Source organism: Homo sapiens, chromosome 21, assembly GCF_000001405.40.
Source record: "Homo sapiens chromosome 21, GRCh38.p14 Primary Assembly".
Taxonomy (NCBI): Eukaryota; Metazoa; Chordata; class Mammalia; order Primates; family Hominidae; genus Homo; species Homo sapiens.
This window is the reverse complement of record NC_000021.9, coordinates 21,463,269-21,488,100: the sequence shown is the minus strand read 5'-3', so window position 1 is coordinate 21,488,100 and position 24,832 is coordinate 21,463,269. Positions and strand designations below refer to the sequence as shown.

The following is a 24,832-nucleotide window of genomic DNA, read 5'->3' as shown; positions in this document are numbered from 1 at the left end:
ATTAAACATCAATCTAACCCCTTCTATAGATAGGCATATTTAAAATGTTTACATATTTTAATTTCAATCTTGTTCATGTATACCAGGAATGAAGGCATATATGTGCATTTGCAAAATGCTTCTGGAAATAATATGAATATAGAGTTTATAAAATTAAACTTAGTCCGTCCTAATGACCTATAGTATTAGGAAAGAAATGAACAAAAATAGCAACTCACCTAAGGTTTTTCCACGTAAGAATACATTTTATAGGAAAGAATTTACTGCTACCTCCTAGGCCTACTCTGTTAGCATATCTGAAACATGGTACTTGTGGGTCTTACTGTGAACTGATGAGTAATTATAGTTTTGATTGGGGTAGAGAGGCCAGTAACGTTGACTGTAAAATGGAGGAAAGAAGACAGACTAGAAGAGATTGGGAGGAGAAAGAAGGAGATATCCAGATCTATATTTTAAAAATCCTGATATTCCACATGCAGATAATGGCAATCATGCATAAGTAAATCAATCTAGCTTCATAACTGGTAATACGGTCAAAACAATCTTTTGAAATATTTTAACAGTGAACGATACAATACACACACCATTGGACATAGACATATATTTCTGATTATATATAATGACTAATCTTACACTCAACACACAAGCTCAAATTTATACATCTTCAGAGACAGAATTTTATGTAAAACTCCATTGTATGAAAAAAAAATCATTGGATGGTACTAGGAAGATACTTAAAATAAGTTTAAATTTTTATGTCTTGCTTACCAGTAATCACATTTACTTAGATGGGTAGACAGATGAAATAATAGTAAAGCCAAAAAAGTAACAAACTCATTTTTAAAATAAACAAGTAAACTGTCTGATTTTTATGGCTGCATATAACAACAGTATTGTTCAGATAATATAAAAGATAACTCAGCAACACATTAAAACTTTTAAAAAATCCTAGGATGTAAAATGTCTAAGGTTTTATTTATTGGAATGCAATAGCTTTATTGTTTAGTTTTGTACTTTTTAATTTCTTAGAGAAATAAGGCAGATCACAAAGCCTATTATTTTACCATCTCTGAGAATATTTTTAAAAGAATTTATGTGTATCTCAGAGTTGTGAAATAGGTGTTCATGTAAGAATAAACATTTGGCCAAATGACAGACTGCTTATAAAGTTTAGGACTAAAACTAGATCCACACTTAGATGCTTAAAATCTAACAAACAACTCTTTAAATGTATATAACTCTGCTAACATAATTTTAATATTAGGTTCTTTTCAAAATGCCAAATTGATGTATCTTATTTCTGTGTATACCTCACTTTGAATGTTCTTTATATCACTTAGTGACCTTGAGTTATGATATGTAAAACTTCAAGATAAATAAACTTTGCACTAACTTACTAAATAAGTATTCCGTGATCTCCAAAAAAATATTTTGTCATTCCTAAGTCAAGATCATTTCTACATGAAATTCTCACAGAAATGTCTCTAATTTATTGGAAAGATCAAGTAAGGTTACAATGAATGTAAAAAACAGTTTCTGGAGGTGTTACTAGAAATCTTTTTATCAACGCCTTCTACAAATTAGTAACCAATATAAACTCTTCAGTCTCAAATATCGAGAAATTTAATATGCAATGATAGTTATTTAATAAACGGAATATTGGTTATGGTGATTTAAAAACAAAACTTGCCCTATAAATGGATTATATTTCCATAATGTGTGAGTTGAGATATCGTTTTATCTCAGCAGGGGAGAAAGGAGGGAAGCAGAAGTTTTTTTTTTTTTTTTTTTTTTTTTGAGACGGAGTCTCGCTCTGTTGCCCAGGCTGGAGTGCAGTGGCGCGATCTCGGCTCACTGCAAGCTCCGCCTCCCGGGTTCACGCCATGCTCCTGCCTCAGCCTCCCGAGTAGCTGGGACTACAGGCGCCCGCCACCACGCCCGGCTAATTTTTTGCATTTTTTAGTAGAGACGGGGTTTTACCGTGTTAGCCGGGATGGTCTCAATCTCCTGACCTCGTGATCCACCTGCCTCGGCCTCCCAAAGTGCTAGGATTACAGGCGTGAGCCACCGCGCCCAGCCGGCCAGAAGTGTGTTTTATCGGTTGATGGGTTGCTTCTGCAGTCTACAGGTCTATTACTAGATTACAAGAAAGGATAGCAGTTGACAGCTAGGAGTTTGGAAAAGATAAGTTAAAAGAAAATCTACTATGAAAGAGAGGCCTAGCCCTCATATGAAAAGATTCTGTAGCTATCTCTTTAAAAAGAGACACGAAAAATATTTCTGTTCAACAAAATGATAGCTTTTGATGAATGAATCACAGAGTCCAGAACCCAATCATTTGATTTACCAAGTATGTTATGGTCACTTTTATGCATATATGTACATCTGGTTGTTTCCTATTGTCCTAAATAAATAAGTAGTAAAAGTCACTTGTTAAGATGTGGTTGCAAGTGAAAAACACAAACACTCTTTACTTGTTTTGAAATTACTTAGGTAAAGATTACTTAAGTGAAAATTGCATATTCACATAATGAAAATTTGCAAAGACCAAAAATCATTCTTCATGCTACTCCCTCAAATCGAAATTCCTTTGAAATTTGGAATCTAGTTCCAATCTCAATTTCTTCCCATCTTGATTTCAACTTCTTTAAAGGAGTGTCTATAATATTTTCTTCTCTCTCTCTAATGCTTGCAAGAATTCTGACTACCAGATGTCCAGAAAAATGTAATAAATAACTACTTATGTTAGAACAATAGGACTTGAGGTCAGCTCAAAATGTAATCTAAATCCAGTGAATTGGGTGTAACTTTTTAGACATATACAAATTTAATTTAACATTCATTCTGGGAAAATTGCAGAGATATTTTCACTTAATGAAAAAAATTAATCGGTGTTCAAATTTAAAATAGGAAACTGTTTCACATTTATTCCTTAAGACATTTTGGTTCAACAAAGGGAAAATAAGCAGCACAATTGGGATACACATCTAATAAAATATAATGCTTATGTTTTATATAAATGGTAAACACATTGAAATATTAGAAATGTTCATAAAGTTGGAAACTTATACTTAAAAGTAACAGTAAAAAAAACAATAGTAGTGATCCACAATTCTACATAATAAAATTATGATTTTTAAAAAGTATGGCCATGGATATTTAATTATTTGCAAAATAATAATGAAAGATTAGATGTAGCAAAGGCTTAAGTTTCAAGTACAAGTGACATGCTATTTAACAAGGTCAACTTTAGGAATTAATGGAAAATTTAGAATAAAGTATGTTATGCAGTGAACTGGTAGCTGAAAGTAGCAATCCCGATTGAATTTCCTTCATTTGATTTTCTGACAAATTATCCACTTAAAAGGTTGATAATTGGGGGAAGGAGAAAAAGCTTAATCATTCATGGGTGAAGATACATGCATAATTAATTGGACCTTAGGAAATATTTTATTATAATTTTAGATAAGCCTTGCTATTACTATTTTTTTTTAATTTTCAGGGCATAAGAGGATATACCATATGATATAACAATGACATTAAAACACGCAAGACAAACTTATGGCTATAATGAAAGAAAACCCAGCAGCATTCAGCTGCCACGACTGGCTTCCATTTTCGCCTTTATTCGCTTCACAGCATTTATCTGCATGATGAAAATTGTTTTTGAAAATAGAATAAGAATGAAATAATTAAGAAAATAAAGGGTAGAGTTACAAACGAGGAAATCAAAAGAGAAAAAACGTGACAGTAGGAAAGAAAAAAGAATAATTAATGCAAGATTTACACAAAGTCATTAACAATTAATGCAAACCTACAAAAAATACTTTCATACAAAACAAGAATGGCTAAAATCTTGTATAAAACATTTCTATGTATTGTCACATATTAAAAACATACAAAGGTCAATATTGATGTTTATTCTGCATTACTCAGAAATTAATTCTGTCACTGATCCCTTATATGTGAATATCTTTCATTTATAAGTTGAAAATGTAAATTACAAGGGAAAAGTCACCAGTCATTTCACTGTGCTATTGGTGAATTCACAGTGCTACTTTTAATATGATCTCAATATATCCCACAATGTTTGATGGTAATTTTTTCTACCGTAATTTCTTAGGATATATTTAATAAAAGCCATTCTATTTTAATAATAAACAAGCTACCAACAAATATAAGTGAAAATTGCATATTCACATAATTAAAATTTGCAATAAGCATAGAAGCTAGAAGCATTAACCTATTGGCCATAAGCAAACTCCAGACATATGTCACTGCATCTCTTTTAAAACAATTTTAGGAACCAAAGATTATGAAAATATTTTTTAGACTTACTTTTTCACTACATGCTAAACTAAATGCTGCTGCAGGTGTAGTATCAATATTTAGGTTAGACTGAAAATTCCAGAGGGTTAAGATGAAGTTTCCCCAGGTAATTGGACTTCTATTTCACCATTGTTTTAGAATTTTTAAACTTATGTTCTAAAACAACCATAAATGTAATCCTAAAATAATATTTTCATATTTGCCATGTGTTTGAAAGTTGTTTTCTGTTCATGTTGAATTATCTAGTGATGAAGGATTTATTAGTGTTGCTTGAAACTAGAGTTGAGGTGATCAAAATAATTTTACTGTATAGTTCATTGGAAGTACAAATTAAAAGCCCATGAAAATACAAAGTAACTGAAATATTTTAGCAATATTTTTTGTGGTGATTTATATTATTTTTTTTAGCTTGTTAAATCTAAACAACTATTTTGTATGTATTATGTATGCATTACATGTTCCCAGAGGGCAGAATTATTTTATCATTGAATATAAAAAATGTTGAACAGAATTATTGTCATCAAATTATATTGATAGTCAATATTAAAATTAGACATGTCTTCAGGAAAAGAAGGAAGCAGTTACTGAAAGATACTAACGTCTTTTTTGGTTAAATATAAATGTTATCAAACATGTGGCAGGCCAAAAGAAATGGTGAAAATGTTTTTCAAAGTAAGTTTATTTATTTCCAAGGATTTTTTTAAACATTAGATTATATCCAGTCCAGAAGTTTAGTAGTATTTTTAGTCATTAAGATTACAGAACAAATCAATAAATGCCATGCTATCAGCCTTGAAATCCATAGTTTGGTAGTCATTTTATAACAATTAATCTGCTATAGTTTCCCAATATTCTTGTTTCTTATAAAATAAAATAAGATGGAGTTATGCTGCATGAATATTCTGAAAAGGAACACGATTGATTATGGAAACTCCATTTTAAATAAATCAAAATACATATCTTTCAAAATAAGTACATCTTTAATAAGAAAAAATGAAAAATATTAATTACAAAATTATTTTTTAATAATTATAAACTAAGAAGAAATGTAGTATCCACTAGCATACTTACAAGAAAAATTATTGTTATCAATGTAATATTTTATATGAATGTAAAGGGAGTAGGTTGATAAAAAACGAAAAAATAGTGCTTTAGTCCAACAAATAAATGTTCTCTAGACTTACCCTATTGTTTACAAAAAGTTAAATATATCTAATATACATAAGTAATGGGTTTTTAAATTCAAAATTCCAGAAAACTTATTTTGACAGTCTACAATGCATGAAATATAAAAATAAATTAAAACCACTTTAACCTTTAAACTCTATATCTTCTCTAACTTAAATGAAAAGACTTAAGATGTGCTAGTTTATTACAGATAACTTATTTCTAATATGTTTGAATTTATATTTCATTTTAAAATGAAAAATAAAATGTTATAAAATTATATGATCTTTTTTCATATTTTGCAAATATATAATGTTAACTCTATAAGATCTGAAAGGTTCTCAAATTCCCCATCATCACAGCCTTTAAAATTGCCTCACAAAACCTAGATCTAAATCAAACAATTCTTAATTTATGGTTTGTTTCTGATATGACTTTCTATGAGGCCTTAGCAATCCGGATTCAGTAACAGTAAATTAGACACGATTTTATAACTTTTTTTTTTTCGAGATGGAGTCTTGCTCTGTCACCCAGGCTGGAGTGCAATGGCGCGATCTTGGCTCATTGCAACCTCCAACTCCCGGGTTCAAGCAATTCTCCTGTCTCAGCCTCCTGAGTAGCTGGGATTACAGGCGGGTGTCACCATGCCCGGTTCATTTTCGTATTTTTAGAAGAGACAGGGTTTCACTATGTTGTCCAGGCTGGTCTCAAACTCCCGACCTTGTCACCGGCCTGGGCTTCCCAAAGTGCTGGGATTATAGGCGTGAGCCACTGCGCCTGGCTGAATTTGTGACATTTTTACAAATAAAATAAATATTTCATTTTCCCCTTTTTTTGATAAGTTGTGATGGCTTTGTATCAGCTACATGGTTTAGAGGGGTGAATACCATCTCCTACCTTCTCAGATGGCTTTGTCTGTGTGCCTGTATGTGTGATTGCTCCACGACTCCTTGATTTGTTTCATCTAGCATTTTTCATCATAAAAGACCTTCTAACACTGGCTTTTTCCCTCCTCTGCTCACCTTCATAGAAAAACTTCCTGAAAGCATTAAATAAATATGGAGTCTAAACTCCCTAACCTCACATACAATTCTCTGCCCACTTGTACCTAATTTATCTCTCAATGACGTCAGCAAAGCTGCACGTGATAGGGATACTTCACATCTGTTCTGGTTCAGTTCCATTGACCTTTCAGCAGCATTTGACACTTTACATCTATTCTTCTTGAAATATGACCCTTTGTTAACTTCCAAGATACTACGCTCCTGTTTTTCCAGTAAGTTTGTAAAGTGTTAGTCTCATGATGAGGGGTGGAGTGATCTGGTTTCTTCTTCTAGTATAATATGATAGTTCCTTGGAACTCAGTTCTTAACTTCTTTCTACTCTTCAGTAATTCAAGAAATATTCTCTGGAAATCACTGCTGTGCCAGTCGCCCTTCTAGTTACTGGCAAACACAAATGAGTACTACAGACATCAACCCCTCTTCAGATATTTTAGGCATTGCTTAGACGGGTTTACCCTCACTCACATACCATTCACCTGTTAACACTGACAGCATCATGGTGTATGTTTCCAAGCCATGGTTATCTTCTCATTTCCATACGCCCACATATCTAACCAACGATTTGATATTTCAAATTTAACAAATACTAAATGGATCTGATGTTTGATCCTCATTCTCCAAGTCTTGCTTCTCCTACAAAATTCTTCACCTTGAGAAATGACATCAGCAATGTTCTAGTTGCCCAAGCAAGAAACCTAGAAGTCATTACTGACTGAATCCAATCTATTGCAAAGGCAGCGTTAGTCTACACTTATAATGTGTCAGGAAATTTTTCGTTCTTTTATTTTTTCTACCGCTGTTCATCCATCAGTTGCTCTTACCCATAAGAGAAAGAATAATCTGTTTATAATACCTATCTCTTCATACAACTTTTCTGCTTACAATTATTTATTTCTTTTGGAAGATGTTTTACAATTACGTTTTTAAAAGCCCTTGAATTATCTGGTTTGCATTCCCTCTCTGACCTTATCTATAGTCACACACTTCCAGGTTCTCTTCCACACATGCCTTTTCCACCTCCTAGAACAGATCATGCTCTTTCTTGTCCCAGAGATACCTTCCACGTCACACATTTTCCCTGGAAAGTTCATTCCTGCATGTTTCCTTTGGAAACTCACCTTCTAAGAAAAATCTCTCTTAGTTGCAGTTATTCTTTTTTTTTTTTTTTTTTTTTGAGATGGAGTCTCGCTCTGTCGCCCAGGCTGGAGTGCAGTGGCGCCATCTCGGCTCACTGCAAGCTCCGCCTTCCAGGTTCACGCCATTCTCCTGCCTCAGCCTCCCGAGTAGCTGGGACAACAGGCGCCCGCCAGTACGCCCAGCTAATTTTTTTGTATTTTTAGTAGAGATGGGGTTTCACTGTGTTAGTCAGGATGGTCTCGATCTCCTGACCTCGTGATCCGCCCGCCTCGGCCTCCCAAAGTGCTGGGATTGCTGGCGTGAGCCACCGCGCCCGGCCAGTTGCAGTTATTCTAACTCATGTTGAATATCTGTCTTCTCTACCAGACTGTGGAGATTTTGGGGGACATGGGTCAGTGCTGTATTTTTCACAGATAAATCCTTTGTACTCATTCAAGGGTTTGTCACAAAGAAGTACTCCAATAAATAATTCTTAAATTAATAAATGATAGATCTTAACATTGCAGAACCAGAAGGAACTCACTTTAGAGATGAGGAAACAGTTATTTTGACAAGTTATGTGACAGGAACAAATCTGGGAATATAAACCAGAATTCTATCCATTTTCTTTCCAGGTCTTGCCTACAAAGCTCTCAGGACACGAGTTTCTCAAATTGAAAAATATATATATATAGAGAGAGAGGAAATGAATTACAGCATGTCTTGGTTACTTTGGTGCCTTCATATCTGCTTTTATTACCTTTTAATTTTTTCAACCTTTTGTCTACACGTATTGTTGGTTTTTATCATCAACAATTTTTTTTTTTTTTTTTTTTTTTTTGAGACGCAGTCTCGCTCTGTCTCCCAGGCTGGAGTGCAGTGGCGCGGTCTCGGCTCACTGCAAGCTCCGCCTCCCGGGTCCACTCCATTCTCCTGTCTCAACCTCTAGAGTAGCTGGGACTACAGGCGTCCACCACCACGCCCGGCTAATTTTTTTCTGTTTTTAGTAGAGACGGGGTTTCACCGTGTTAGCCAGGATGGTCTCCATCTCCTGACCTCGTGATCCGCCCACCTGGGCCTCTCAAAGTGCTGGGATTACAGGTGTGAGCCACCGCGCCCGGCCAACAATTTCTTACAAAGATAGCAGAGTCATTGGGGGTATAACATTTAGTAATCTGTGTAAAATCTATTTTTTTGATTTTATGTTTTATCTATGTTATTAAAATTTTGCCTTCTACTTCATATATTAAATTTAATACATTATTAAATTAAACGGATTAAGTTAATTCATTATGTTTCAAAATATATACACTAAATTAAAAATTTGGGAGATTATAGTATATACTGTTGCAATTTTCCTTTGGAGGAGGCTCTGGCTCAGTATGGGAATACGTATAGCATGTTCCTGATATTTGCATGAAATATAATTACCACATACGTATTCATTACAATTGTAGAAGTGGTTTCTGATGTTTCAAACATAGAGAGGTAATGAATTCGATAGTACATTCAGTCATTCTTATTTAGATGTGTTATCTTGTAAGGGCATCAGATTTGTCATATAACTAGAAATATTTCTGACCTCCAACATGTCATTAAACCTCTTAAAATCATATTTGTAAAATGAGAATAATGCTTCCTTATCCAGCTCAGATTTAAGAATAAAATGACATAATCAATGCAGAAGGGCTTTGAAAATAGTAAAAAAAGTCCTTAAAATGTAACATACCAGTGTTATTTCCAGGGACTTTTTACTTCCTAATTTTAAATTATAATTTGGTAGAATTTATTAACATTAGCAATATAAAGCTCTAATATCAATTACTTTTTAAACCTTATAACCAATACTAATTACTTTTTAATTGAAAGATTAATCATATAAAACTGCTTTCAATTACTAAACAACTGATGTATGATATAACAAAATCATAATATGTGAAATTAACATCAATTTGAAATTACAAGAGGGTTTAATGACATGACTGAACTAGCTAGTTTTCTTTTCCAGTTTCAAAAATATTATATATCTATACTTATACTCTAATATAATAAGACAAATAAATCTTGGTTTCATGGATTAATATGCTGTTCTTTTCTGTATATATGTACCTATAAAGAATATACCATATATACATAAATATCTGTACATGTCTGCATAAAATTAAAATATTAAAAGTAATAACTGAGGGAAAATAAATGTAGAAATATGACCAATTTAGCAACTCATGAACAGAGTTAAATGTTATTTTGAGTCAGAATAAATTTTTGCATCTTTACTTCAAGAGCATTTATCTGAATAAAAGTTTTAACATCCCTGTTGTGAACTTTCATAATATTACTAACATACTAAGATGTAACAATGTAAGCACTGTTACCTATCAATGGTAGAATCTAACCAGTGTGTTGCAAAGGCTGATTTACAGTGTTCTCCCATTTTATGAGCCTTCTTAAAACTCTAGGTATAGGTCTTTATGGAATTATATTTGTGGCTGTTCCTGCCTTTCTTTGTGACTAATTTTATGTTTCCAAAATCAACTTGCTTGGTCAGGCATAGGTTGGCTCATCATTACCTTCGGTCAAATCTAACAAGAATTGGATCATCAGTCTCCACATGATTGGCAGAGAAATTGTCTTCTTAGCAAAGCTTTCGTATGGCCTCAATAGACACTTTTCACGTTGATTATCATCAGTCACTCTTACTCTCTATGTTCTCCTAGTCATTCTTTCTCCACCACTCCAACTATTAATGGGGTCAAAATATATTTACAAATTAAGCAATACCCTATGGCAAGAGCGATGAGAAACTTTGTGTATGATATGTCACAATAATAATTAGAACCTGGAATTTACATTTCAGTTTGTTTTAATTATTAATAAGAAAAGTCAGTAAGGGTTATAAAAAGGTGGTATCATATTTATTGTTCAGTCTAAAAAAGAATATAGTTTTGCTTACCTTTAATAATGTTGGGCTTTGGTGGCATGCTGAATTCATAAACTGTCGGTTCAGAATATCCCAATCTATTGGCAGCTGTAATCTGAACTTCATACCCCATGGTCCACTGGAGATGCTCCAAAATGATGTGGTCTTTATTTCCTTGCACTTTTTTCTCTAGCCATTGGTCTTCCTTATCTTTCTGTGAAAGCAATAAAAATGCAGTTTGTAAATATCCATACACTAAAGTGACACCTTTTTAAAAAAATTATATTGGAATTGGAACAATATACTTATATTGGATATTGGAACAATTTTCATAGGCACAGGGATACATGAAGTTGCTGTGTCAATGAAGCCAGTATTATTTCCAACATTTTTCTATATAAAATATAATGTTGTTTATATTAGCCAAAAAGTGGTTTTGTCATTAATCCTTTATTCAGTGGTTGACAATTTACCTCCATTAGGATTTTTTTTTTTATTTCACATATATCAGTTAGTTTTTTGGCCATTTTGTTGATTATTCATCATTATGTGAATGGGAAAATGAAACATGATACACAGAAAAAACTTAGTATGTCCATTAAAAGAATTGCCAGGGACTATTGTTAAAGTTTTTTGGGGGGAAGAAAGATAAAGTATCTTGAAATAAAGTCTGGATATGAATGATAGATTTATATTATCACTGGTATTTTTTACTACTATGATGTTTTATGACATAAAATAATATACAAACAAAATTACTAAGTTTTAAATATATCATTAGCATAAGAATATAAAACAACGCCATCCTATTCTCAAACATTCTACACTTAAATACTATCTCATTCTTTTTCTAAAATATAAATTTGACCATATGACATTTGAATTTCCCTTTATTTGAAAAAATTACCATTAGAACTACAATTACTAATGAAATATAAATTGATACAATTATAAATTAAATTATCTAAAACAGTGTGATTATTGGGTTGTGCCATGTATTAAAAATTTAAACACAGAAAGCTTCCTTAACCTTTCTGGCTTGTCTTCCTTCTCTTTATAACAAAAGTGATGGTAGCAGCTGCTTCTGTCAGGTTTTTGGAAAAGCAATGAGGAAAATTGAGTAAGTTGTGTATTTCAGGGCCTTAGAGATCATAACCACTTAAAAAAATAACAGCGATTTTAGGATATAACTGTTTCCATAAAAACTGTATGGAAATGAAACATTTTCTCTGAAATCATGTATCTAATAATCTATCATTGCAACTGCAAATCTCACTTTCCCAGGGTATAAATATAAATAAATTACAGCCTGTCTATAACAATAGATGCAGACATGTCTTTTAACCTCATAGCTCAGCCCTGTATTACTCTATGTTGAGCCACAATTTAACACTGCTTCTTTGAGTATAAAGAATAACGATGTATTCTCCATTTTTGGTGACAATTAAGTATTTGTTCTCTAAAATATAATTGTGAAAGTTAAATTCATGATTGCATTAAATTGACAGTACTCAAACATGGAGTGTCCTTCAGAAGGAGGCAAGAAGACATTGTAATTTTGATAACATACTAGTATTCTCTTTTTCTAGTTAATATTTTTTTTGGTGACACAGAACTTTTATTACAAAGGAAATAAACTTTTTGGTGACATAGAACTTCCATTACAAAGGAACAGAAAAGTTTGGCCTGTTTTGCTATTTCGTGTAAAAATGAAGATATTAGAACCCCTAACGAAGCCCTGGTTTTAAATGAACAAGCACTACAAGTTATCAATATACACAAGAGGCACTTGCCTTGATTTTTGAAACTCAGGAATATCTGTTTTTATAAAAATGGCCTGTAGCCAGTACTACTTAAAGTATTATGAGATGTATGAACGATGGAATAACTGAGAAGAGAGGTTGTAACTTTTCTAAGTTAATCAATGGACAGTAAGGTTAAGAAAGAAACCTAGTTGCAATTTTGAAATGCTTAGGGCAGCTATGCTAAAAAGCCACAGCTATCACAACACCCTCTGTCTTCACCCACTCATTCATCAATTATTTATTCAGTTAATTGATTAGTGAGGACTTTCTAGAAGGCATGAACACAATAGTGACCAAGACATGTGCAATACCCTCATGTTGTAGTTTGCAAACCAGCCCAGAAGAAAGACATGAGGCCTTTGAAAAATGAGAAGGTGGAATGGAGGCACATAATACCTAATAAAGTCAAGGGCTAGGCAGGTCACCAGTGGGGAGGTGATATCACCCTTCCTGGAAATAATACACTCTAGCGCCATTTTTCTCTTCATTTGTCCTAATTGAGTTAATGACAAGAAGGTGTCAGTTTTTTACACAGCTTTAAATCCAAAAAGAAACACAGTGATTTTAAGCCTTAGATGCATAATCACTGGGAGATGTATAAGCAAACACTGTAGCTGTTTCATATAAATTTTTAAAAATTGTGTATATATATATATATGTGCATTATATATGTGTATTATATATATGTATTATAATGTATTATATATGTGTTATATATATAGACCTACATAGAACAAAAAAGCTTAAAAAGTCAACCCAAAAGTAATTTGAGATGATATGTTAAATGTATGTATATATATACACACACAAACACACACAACATATAATTGTAAATGCTATGTATAGCATATTCAGTATGAATATGCACATATATACATGTAGCATGTATTTTTATAAGTTATAAATTGTGTATACACACACATATATGGGAAGGAAGGGGTGTATGGCAAGGACACTGAAGGGTGGTATGAAGACAAGGGATCCATGAGGCAGCAGACAGCTGCATGTCCCTGTGGCCCTGGCATTACCTCAGCTATTCAGTACTTTCTATGTAACGATGAAGTGGTTGATGTGAGTAAATATTTTTGTGGAAATACTTGGAATTCAGTTTTGTTATGTATCTGAGTGAAGATGTGGGTGAAAGAGCCAGAAAATAAGCCAAAAAATGAGACCTTAATTACCCCAGAAAAAAAAAAAGTATTCTTTAGAGGGATAGATAGATGTCATGTCCTTCAGGTAATCCTTCAAAAATACCATTTTTGGAAATTAGACATTTAAGGTGAAACTTCTGTACAAACACAAGGCAGTCTCTTGTAAATTAACAATCATTTAGCTCTTATTTGTTGAAGCCCTTAATATGATAAATTAAAGGGCCCTCCATCATTTTAAGTATTTGGGCTGATAGTATAAGAAACCAAAGGGAGCTCTAACATGTTCCCAGCATAAATCAATTACATTTTCCTTTCAACATTAGGCAAGAAGGCATTTTAATCCCCTAATTGCTATTCCTAGGGAATAGGAAAAAAATTAAAGTGGGTGTTACCAAATACTCCCCTGGCATCAAAATCTCAAGTATGCATATCTGTAGAGTGTCTAATTTACAAAGGTTGAAATGCCTAGGGAACAATTTAAGATAATCTAGTTGCAAAACGTTCCCCTAGGTAACTTAATGAGATGATTTGCTGAATATGGCTATTATTAATAAGCCAATTAAATGTTGAAGGGCAGCTACTGAAAAAAAATGGTCATTTGCCTTTGGTATCGCTTCTCTTAAGCAATTCCTTTTTTTTTTTTTTGGTCAGAAAATAGCAGGGCCATATGGCAATTCAGGGTACTTCTTAATAGTGATTCTGAAGTCATACTATCAGCATTCAGGAAAGTATTGGCTATCATCTCTACAGGGAAGTGATTAGAGGCAAGGTGTAAGGGTCACTATTTTCTTATTTTCAGGGGCTGCTTGATACTTTTATTCATAACAAGAAACAGTTTACTGACTCCTTTTGAAGTCTCATGAAATGTATTATCAGCATCATTTTAAATATAAACTGAACAATTATAAAATGAGAGGACAATAGAGAAGGTGAGCTCATATAAGCAAGATGAAGTTTTGATTCTTCTGACTCTCATGTCCTATGATTTAAGATTTTGTATGTATATAAAGCAGTTCCCGGTTCCTGGATTCCCTGGTAGCATGGTTCAGGTATTCATATTTACATGACCTCACAGAAGGCCCAGAAATTATTTAAAACTCCATTTGCTACTCTCAATGTCAGAGAGGTGATTGATCAGTCTGGATTTTATATATAATATATATATATATATATATTTATACATATATTTTGTATATTATATATAATTGCATATATATACACACAAGCATATATTTTTATATATATATACAGATAGACCATATACAGAATTCAAGAAGAGTTTACAAATGGGCAAACGAGAAGCATCAAGGGACCTGGCTTGAATACCATGGCACTGTCAGATTCATCGAGAGACCAGTGAGTCCTTCAGAGCTGTCCTGGGTAGAGGCACAAAAGTCTCCATATCAGAATATCCAAAAGAAACAAACAGGTACTCATCATTGTTAGCATGAAACCTGGGACAAAAAGTTGTCCTCTGAGAAAGATATTAATCTTAAATTTAAAACACCGAATTGTATATAAAATTATATATACGTGTGTGTGTGTGTATGTGTGCGTGTGTGTGTGTGTGTGTGTGTGTGTACATATATGTATATATATACATTTGGAAGATTTAAAGGTTTGAAGATTTTAGCCGAGTTCTAAATTTAAATCTCTTTTTCCATGATCATAACAGATTCTACTTGCCTTTGTTCCATGTGCTGATGCTTGGTAAACTTTTTTAAAATTAGGCCCTACATAATCTGTTGCTAGTCTCCACCACCCACATAGTACTTAAGGCAAAATAAATCTAATTTTCCTATTCATTACCTTCTGTGTTCTCATATCTATAAACATTGGCAGTGCATTTTTTCTTGTGTTTCTTATTTCTCATATTAATTATTCTATTTATAATACTATTTATAATTGTATAGTGAGCTAATTTCTTTATTGATTTCTTGCTGTATTTGTTCATTCAGACAACACATAGTCTATCTATACAAAGAAGAATAAAACTCATCCTCTTAACTTACAGCAAAGAAAAATTACTAAAATGCTTGCTACTCTTTAATGTCCATAAGTATTCATTGTTTAAAAATACTTCAAAACTTAAACTATAATGGCTTTAAATAAATTTCCATGTACATACATAAACATTATTAACTGGAAAATGTTTTCTTAAGAACCAAAGCTTGATTTTACTTATTTATTATTTTAATGCCCTTTTCAAACTTACCTTTCTTATCCTATGGCCATTGAGATAGTGTACAACCTCGTGGACTCCAACTTACTTAAGAAGTTCAATTAAGACTTACAAATGCTAGTCCCTATAGTACTTCCTTACAATTGATTTTAAGCTACCAATTATTTTAGTTAAGGAAATGTATTTAATATGCCAACACTAAGTGATAGTTATGATCCCATAGCTATCATCAAATTAGAAATAAAATGGTGAAAAACTCATGGAAACATGTAAAAATCTATGTACTAAATTATATGAAGTTACATTGACACTATAAGTACAAAGTAGATGTAAAAATAACTTCATGATTTTTTCCAAACATTTCATGAGATTAATATGTTTGTCTTTATTTTCCAAACACACGGTTTAAACTTACTGATTTATTGTTAGAGACATTAATTTTCATGAAGAGTCCACAGAAATATCTCATTCTGCTTTTATTACTCTAGTTCTGTTCCAATAAATTCTGTCTTTGTAATGGGTGAGTGAACAAAGCCATGTGCTGTATTACAGGCTGACAGAATAATGGTGTTTCCTGGTTCATAATCTATAGGGAGTTTTACACTTTCTATAATAGGATATAGCTATTCTTGTCCTTTCCCAGTGAAACCCAAATTAAAGGCTTAGATTCAGTGTCTGCTAGAAATCAAGTCATATAAAGAATATATTGTCTAAATTACATTGTTCTCAGAATATAGCCCTGTGCACACTGGAGTTGAAAGATGTGGCCAAAGAAGAAATCAAGAAGTGAAAATCTTAGAGCTGTTTCTTATTTTCCAGATTCCTCTATGTACTTTTTTCTTCATTTTTTATTAAAAATATATTGAATATGTCTAAACCATTTTTTCAAGTTATTCAGTTGCACTTTATTCCACTGTGGAGTTCATGTGGTTTGAGAAACTAATAGATGAAGTAGTTTGGAATCATATAAAGAGAACAGATGATCAAGAACTTTTTGAAGTAGTTATTTCATTTTTTATTCAATCATGGTATCTCCAATTGGATCCTCAGAGCATGATGTTGACAGGATGGAGGAGGTGGAGAAGAGAAGAGACAACAACAAAATAGGGATATATAGAGTATTTTAATGATGAAACTAGAAGGCATACTATCAAGTGATATGGTCAAGAGAAACTGTGCCAGGATGGCTGTATCCGAAGGCACAAGAGCTGGGCAGTTGAGCTGAGATGAGATAGTGATTGAGGGGTTGCCTCTTGCCCAGTACTGCTGCCATCCATATTTAGACTGTTATGAATTACATTCTGATGTCTGTTCCCTCTCCCCACCAAGTCACTCAAATTCTCTAACTTTCCATTGGCGCTTGAAAAAAATGTGAAAAAGTATCACTTTATATTTGATTAATTACAAAATACAAAATAGCCAAGAGTGAGCAATGCCTATCTCATAATACAAAGGATATGGAATCATTCCCTTTGCAAAATTTGCCATAGGTGCCTAAATTTCTACTATTAAAACAATGTCCCCTGTTAAAATGATAGTAGCTCTAAGATGGATAACTTAGTAATTGATTGATTATCAGACAATTATAGTTATGTATGAATTAATACAATCAATCATTTCCAATGTGTTATGAAAAACAGATCCTCTAGCACTTCTGGAGTTAGAAAGGGTTGGAAATTAGAAAGAAGAGGAGGGAAAAGGACATACTTTTATTGGCGTGGTAAGCACAGACACTGGGTAACTGGGAAGAAACCAGGCACTTTTACCATTAGGTTGGGAGGAGAAAGAGAAAGGCGAGAAAACGGAAGGAGTAACTTTACTGGAGACAAAATTTGTTCTTGTTTAAACTTTATCAGTAAGCCGTATCAACTATACCTTAGCAACTATGTGCAAAGGTAAAATTTATTGAGTACCATTATATGAACTTGAGTCTCTTCAATCTTACTAATCTCATTATGCTTAAAATCTTACTTATTTCTATCCATCTGTGTTTCACACATAACTTCTCAAAAAAGATTAATTCTAATCCACATTTAAAGAAATCAATATGAATTTGAAGTCAGATTTTTAAAATAGTAATTTATGTTTTAAACTGTGTATATGTATACATAAATATATGGCTGTCTAAAATGTCATTATTTCCATTTGTGACTCTGCTTTGCTCTAAATAGATGCAGTGCTACTCAAGAAATATTTTTGATTACATCAATGACTGGGGCCACTACTGACAATACAGTACAAATAAAAATATACAACACGTTGTCTCACAAGTAGTCATTGCATTTTAGAGTCCACTGTGGGATTGTATTAGAATTCCTTACAAACTGTTACTATCCCCCAGTATTTTGTACAATAAATTTTTTCATCCTAGAATTGTGAGCAACAATCTGCATGGAAAGCCTGTTCTAACAGTCCAATTCATGAATTCTGGCCAAGCCTACCTCCCTAGAAAAGATTATCTCTCTTCTACCGTGTTTACAAATGTGCAAATGAGAATGGCCAGGAGACCTCACTTGAGTATGAAAGCTGGGACAAAAACTTGTCCTCTGAAAGGAGTATTAATCTTAAATTTTAAAAATTGATTTGATATCTAAAATTAATTATTAAAATATGCCATTCAAAATCAAATTTTTCTTTTTTATTACCCCTCAGAATGTAGATCTTTCCATTTAGAAGCAGCAGTATTATAATTTAGAAAATTGATGAGAAAATACTGAAAATTAACCCACACACTACTATGGAGTAATTATTTTAAACATGATCTGCTAAAATATAATTAATTTGGATAGCACTAATATGGATTCAGTCAACATAAGCATAAAACGCATGTTGTATGAATCTTAGAAAATTTAACTTAAAATTGTGTTTCATTTTTAACTTATTTTACAGTAGACACCAATACTCCAAGGTACTTATGGAAAAAAATGTTGAAGAAATTATTTTCAGTGGCTTTTGAAATCATCTTTTCTGAAGGCAAAACGCAGTTGTCCATAGTGTCACTCTATGACTCTGCAACTAGTGAACATTGTTTACCTCTAACCTCTATCAAAAATCTGTGTGCAGCTTTTAGCTCTCCAAACATCCTTACTGGATAGTGCTAATTAAAGTTGAAGAAAAGGATTCCCTCTTCATCAAGTTCACCGTGGCCATTCTTTGTTAAACATTATGGATAAGTAAGTCAAATTATTTGATTAATTTGTTTTGAGGTGTGATTTTTCTAATAATATTACCTAACATATGATTGCCAGGGACTTAGCCTGAAGTTACTAATATCAAATAAAATGAGAAGCTTGTCAGCAAAACAGGGGAAATAATATCTCATTTCTGAAATGTTTACTAGTCCCATTTCACACCTAAAAATCATAAGATGAAAACCATGAGAATACTTTGATGATCCATGCTTAGATTTTACAAAAAAAATAAAAAAAAATCACAATGATGACTGTCAGGAATGGAAGGAAGATTAGCATTTATTACCACAATTACTAAATACACATTCTCTCCTGATATGTTTATAAATTCAGTGCAACTCAATTTAATTTGAAAAAACCTAGCATGATATGACAATAAACAAGGTACTTACACTTCTATATTTCACAATGTATTCCAAAATAGGGGCCCCTCCATCGTCCTGTTTGGTGATGCTGAGTTTAAAGCTCTTTCCACTGCTTGGCTGTCCATGTATGGATGGAGGACTTGGTTCACCTAGATATACAATACAACATTTCTTCATTTGCACACATTTCAGATACCTAGATAAACTATATTTTAATAAAAAGAACAGTAATGTAATCAAAATATATGGTGTTATCCTGGATTTACCATTTGACATTGCCCTTTTGTGATATAATTTCTGAACATTTTCCCCATCCAAGAAGCAGCAACATTATAAATCTAGAAGTGTCATGCCAAAACTGTAGCCTGAGGACCAAATATATTATTTTCACTGATATGCAAATGCTCTGAGAAAAGTATAGCATTGCACAAATGTAAAACTTTATTTCTCTTATTATTAATAGTATTAAATCATTTTTATTTTCTTAATGTAAATTTAGTTTGTAAATGTTTTGTAAGCATTTATTAATATGAATACATTAACACATCAGTCTGTATGGAATATATACCTACCAGTAAAGATAATGACTTGCAATTAGTAAATGTGCTTTAATAAGCATTTTCTTTCCTGGGTGCAAATTTGAATAAAGTTTGCAGTATCCAATTTTATAGACCTGTGTTTCAATATTTCATTTTCTTCTAGGTTCATTCATATACTTGCCTTTGATATTATACTTCAACATAGAGATAGCCATATAACAATGATGCTTATATTGTTTTGAATAGAACAGGGATCTACCAAAGTGCAAGAATTTTCTATGTGAAGGGCCAAGAAAAACAGACCATGCACTGAAAAGGATTTCATATCTCTAAACCGGCATGACCTGTTATTTCTTCTCAGCAGGTTATTGTCATTTCTTTTTTCTTTCTTTCTTTTCTTCATTCTTTTTTTGAGGCAGGGTTTCACTCTGTCACCCAGGATGGAGTTCCATAGTGTGATCATGGCTCATTTCAGCCTTGACTTCCCCAGACTCAGGTGATCTTCTCACCTCTCACCTCAGCCTCCCAAGTAGCTGGGAGTACAAGTGCATACCACCACACCCAGCTGATTCTTTTTTTATTGTTTTTTGGAGAGATAGGGTTTTACTATATCACCCAGGCTGGTCTTGAGCTTCTTGGTTCAAGTGATCTGCCTGCCTCAGCCTTCCAAAATGCTGGGATTACAGGTGTAAGCCACCGTATCTGGCTGGTTATCTTAACCACCAGCATTGGGAATGGAGAAAAGAAACTTACCTGACAGATTTTATGATTACCAATAGAGAGATACTCTGTAAGATAATATATTGCAGCCATTTTGACTGTCCTAACATATATATATATATAAAAAGATATATATATACACATATACAACGATATATATATATATATAAAGATATATATATCAGGCAGTGTTACGCATAGATTTTTATAACAGTGGTTCAGTCGTATTTATTATGTTTTCTCACATTTAAAGTAATTTATTTAACATAAAGGAAATGTTAAGTCTTTTAAAATTTAATCTTCACTCTATGTAAACTCAATTAACTTACAATTCCCCAAAATATGATAGTTATCAGAACAAGGCTTCTCCTGCAGTCACTGTTTTAATGAATTAACATAATGATTCCTTTTCTGACACTTAGAGCCCATATAATTTGTGGAACAAGGTCAATAGTCAGGCCTCCAAAAAGAACAAAATATTGAACATGTTACATAGACATTTTTCTTCTCCCAGAATATAGTCTGAAGACTACAATCCAATTAATCAGACCATAAGTAAGAAGGACACTTTTGCAATAAGGACAATTTCCCGGGAACAATTTTTACTGAGTGTATTCTAGTGCACTCTTTTTTTTCTGCCTTGCTCTAAAGCAAAGTTATTTTTATGTTAATAAATCTCAGATGTCACTGTCTTCAGAAACCACTTCACCAAAGACATAATTCATGTCTCAAAAGTGTTGAAACATCTCCCTACATTTTAAAATCTATTAAATTTGCAAGTGAAGAAAATGACAAAAGAGAATAAAAAATAGAGATGATTACTTACGAACTGGTAATGTTTGGAAGATTTCTATTTTACTGTAGTCTCCTTGTCCCTTTCCATTTACAGCTGCAACCCTGATTTCATAAGTTGTATTTGGTTCCAGGTTGTTCAAAACAACCATTGCTAGAAGAAAAACAAAACAAAACAAAATAAAACATATATATACATATATATCTAATTGGACACATTTTAATAAGGAAAACAAATCAAACTATTACAATTCTGAGTGAATAATTTCACTGAAATCTTTCCATGAAATACCTAAAAAATAGATAAGTCATATAAGAAGAAACTGATTTGTGAATAGTTCTCTTCTTCACCTCTATTTTAGCTTTCCAAGCCACGTACTTTCAAAGAAAATTACCCGTTTCATTTGTGACACATTCTCAAAGTAGAAAGTTAAATCTTTTTAATATCCAAAAACCAAGAATGATGTTAATGATGCTAAAATGCATATATTCTGTATGTGTCTCAAGTAGAAGTACTCTACATAGATTATTTCTATAGTATTTAATAGAATCATGGAATTTAATATGCAGATTGGCTTCCAATGTCAGGTGATTTAGTCATGTCAAACAAGTGTGACAAAGTTGAAAATACAGCAAAAATAGTTTATTCTACAATTTCAAATCAAATCAAGTTGTTTTAATTCTAGTTTGAAGCCTACTCATAACTTGTATTTTCACTCTGAGTTTCTTCTCATTTACATACTCTACCAGACCTGGATTCAATAAGACACTAAGGAAGAATATGAAAAGGCACAAGGAAATAAAGGTTACTAGAAATATCTGGGTCATGTCAACCCTTGTTATTTGACCCTTGTTAATTTTGGATGCAATTATAGATTTCAAAATATTACATCTTCAAAAATTCATCTGATGGAGCCACCAGAATTTTATAGTTGCCACTTTCTTTAAATGCTTTTGCTAAAGAAAGCAGAAACTCAGCTAGGGGATATAACAATATCTTGATGAAAATCAAAAGGAAGTTATGTCTGGTTTACACAGTAACTCCAAGTCACATAATCAATTAATATTAGGAGATATAAAAGATTAAATCATAGGTAATTAAGATTATCTTTGCAGAACTATAGTTTTACATAAACCATGACCAGAAATGATATACATGCAATAACATTGTAATATAATTTATTAATATTATTTCTAATGATTATATTATAATTTACTAGATAACATATTCTCTGTATTATATGAGGATACTTAATGAATTTGTTGTGATACTTCCTTGCGTTCCATTCTTTTCCTCAATATTTATGATCATGGTATTTATTTAGCATTTTGTTTGTTTTCTATAGAGATGGGGTCTCACTATGTTGCTCAGGCTGGTGTTGAATTCTTGGGCTCAAGCAAACTGCCCACCTCAGCCTCCCAAAGTCTTGGATTTCAGGAGTGGGCCACTAGGTCTGGCTTAGCATTTTGTATTGTAATCATTTAATCTATATTATCACATTCTAGAAAAGAAAAAAATACATTGTTGAATGTACTGTGTCCAAAATTAAAAGAAAAAATATATAAAAATTACTTAATACCAGATAAATATTAATAGCCACAACACACATATCAACCAGACATTACTTAATCCTGTACAGATGTTCTAAAATCAACAAAAAAAATTAAATTTCCAAATGGCAAAATTTACTTTCGTATTTCTCAATTTCTCAACCTTATAAGAAAACTGAACTTGCTTTTTAGAGTGTACTGCCTTATTGAAGCCTCAGATTATAATACATTATTTCAGATTTAAGGGAGGCCAATTGGGAATAGATTGATTGGCACAGAAATCCTACTGATTAGAAGCTGCAAGGATAAATGGCATAGCCAAGGCTTGAATTCAATGATTTCTGACAGGGTAATGACCTGCAAACTTTTCAGGAAACCCAAACCCACTTGATAACTGGTAGTTAATGGTATATAATTTAAGCCCCAGAAAAGTATATAGTTACACTGAAGAGAAGCTGAGTGCATAGATAAAGAGTTGTTTATATAGATTATGGAATGAGAAGAGGAAATTTAACCAAGGTTGCTAAAATGCTAGTAAATTGGAATTTTACTGTCTTTAAGATGTAAAGCCTCTGCTGAAAGTCAGCATAACATGAATTTGTTTTGATGCTTCCTTTTGTTCCATTCTTTTCCTCAATGTTTACAATCAAGGCATTTATTTAGCATTTTGTTTGGTTTTAATAGAGATGTGGTCTCACTATGTTGCTCAGGCTGGTCTTGAACTCCTTTAACAAGAGTTTAAAAATCACAATATTTTATTAATTAAATCAGATAATGAATATTTTTAAAAGCAAAAGCAAAGGTGAGCTAGGCTCATACGCCCCATGCTATATCTAGTCATGCTTCATTAGGGTAAAGAGTGCAATAGAACACAGACTGTGCTATAACATCATATTGGCTGTCCTAAGGCCTAACATGTTTTGGAATAAGACTTGAAGAATAAACGCCCTTTTATAAAACAGCCAACTTTGATATATGGTATGCCTTTCCATATTTCTGTGATATCCTGGTGCAGCTGCAACATCATTTTAAGAGCATTCAGTAGTCTGTGACTTGGCTGCGTTGGTGATGGCATCTGGCAATGCTTATATTCAATTGTATTTCTTAATACAAGGCAAAAAGAGAAGCAAAAGAATTTAAACATGCACTTTCAATTGCAAATAAAATCCTACATAAATCAGAAGTGTAGAGATCATTATTCTAGATATGATTTCTTCATCTTTGTAGGTTAAAAATTGATAACAGCAGAGCTACCAAAGTACCAGGGCAAACCTACTGTGAGAAAAGTTGAGGTTATTAATTAGGTTAAACAATAAAGATGATACTCACCCCACATACCCCAGCAAAAAAAAATCAAGTGCAGATCTTACTTGAATTATCTGAGTATTTCAGGCAAAAGCTCTTTCTGGCTTGTATTGTCAGCAATCCCCTTCCTTCAACATTTCACAGGCGCTATGAGGAGTTTTGCATGCCCCACTACCTCTGCCAAGGCTAAGTATTTCCTTAGTTACACTGTATCAACTCAGAATGGAATTTCCCTGTTTCCTCACATGTTTCTGTTCTCAGATTCAAGGCTTACCCATGTACTGACCGAGTTTCACATCAGTTGGCAGAAGAAAGGAGCGAAGAGGGCACACCGATGGCTAAACTGTTATTACAGTCCTGGGCTAAAACATGAAAACTGAAAGCTGGCCAAAGAGAGGTTTTATAGATAACCTTTAAAATTATAGGGAAGAGGTATAAAATAAACCTACTGATGTAAGTTTTGCAAAGTTTATATACAAGAAGTCAGTTTGTTTTTGATTCGTGAATGCAGGTTTTGATACAATAACTCTTATTATGAGGCTTATTAACACTGCGTGAACATGAAGATTATTGTGTGAAATAGAACTCCACACATTGAGACTACATTAAAGTGAGAGAGGGAAAAGATTTGGAGG

General features: G+C 32.7%; 1 protein-coding gene across 15 annotated transcripts in view; it reads right to left on the bottom strand.

Moving 5' to 3' along the window:
* The window catches only part of NCAM2 (neural cell adhesion molecule 2), a 544,921-nt gene that overhangs the window by 55,229 nt on the left and 464,860 nt on the right, over positions 1 to 24,832 (bottom strand). For 10 of the 15 annotated variants that reach the window (NM_001352592.2, NM_001352591.2, NM_004540.5 and 7 more), the window contains 3 exons: positions 21,376 to 21,495; positions 19,318 to 19,439; positions 10,630 to 10,810 (listed from right to left, as the gene is read on the bottom strand). In NM_001352592.2, coding sequence (NP_001339521.1) covers positions 10,630 to 10,810; positions 19,318 to 19,439; positions 21,376 to 21,495 — 423 coding nt within the window. Of the gene's footprint in view, positions 1 to 1,815; positions 3,647 to 4,990; positions 8,065 to 8,760; positions 10,417 to 10,629; positions 10,811 to 19,317; positions 19,440 to 21,375; positions 21,496 to 24,832 lie in introns of those variants that run through there. The other 5 variants (NM_001352593.2, XM_011529580.4, NM_001352594.2 and 2 more) reach the window with 3 other exon arrangements.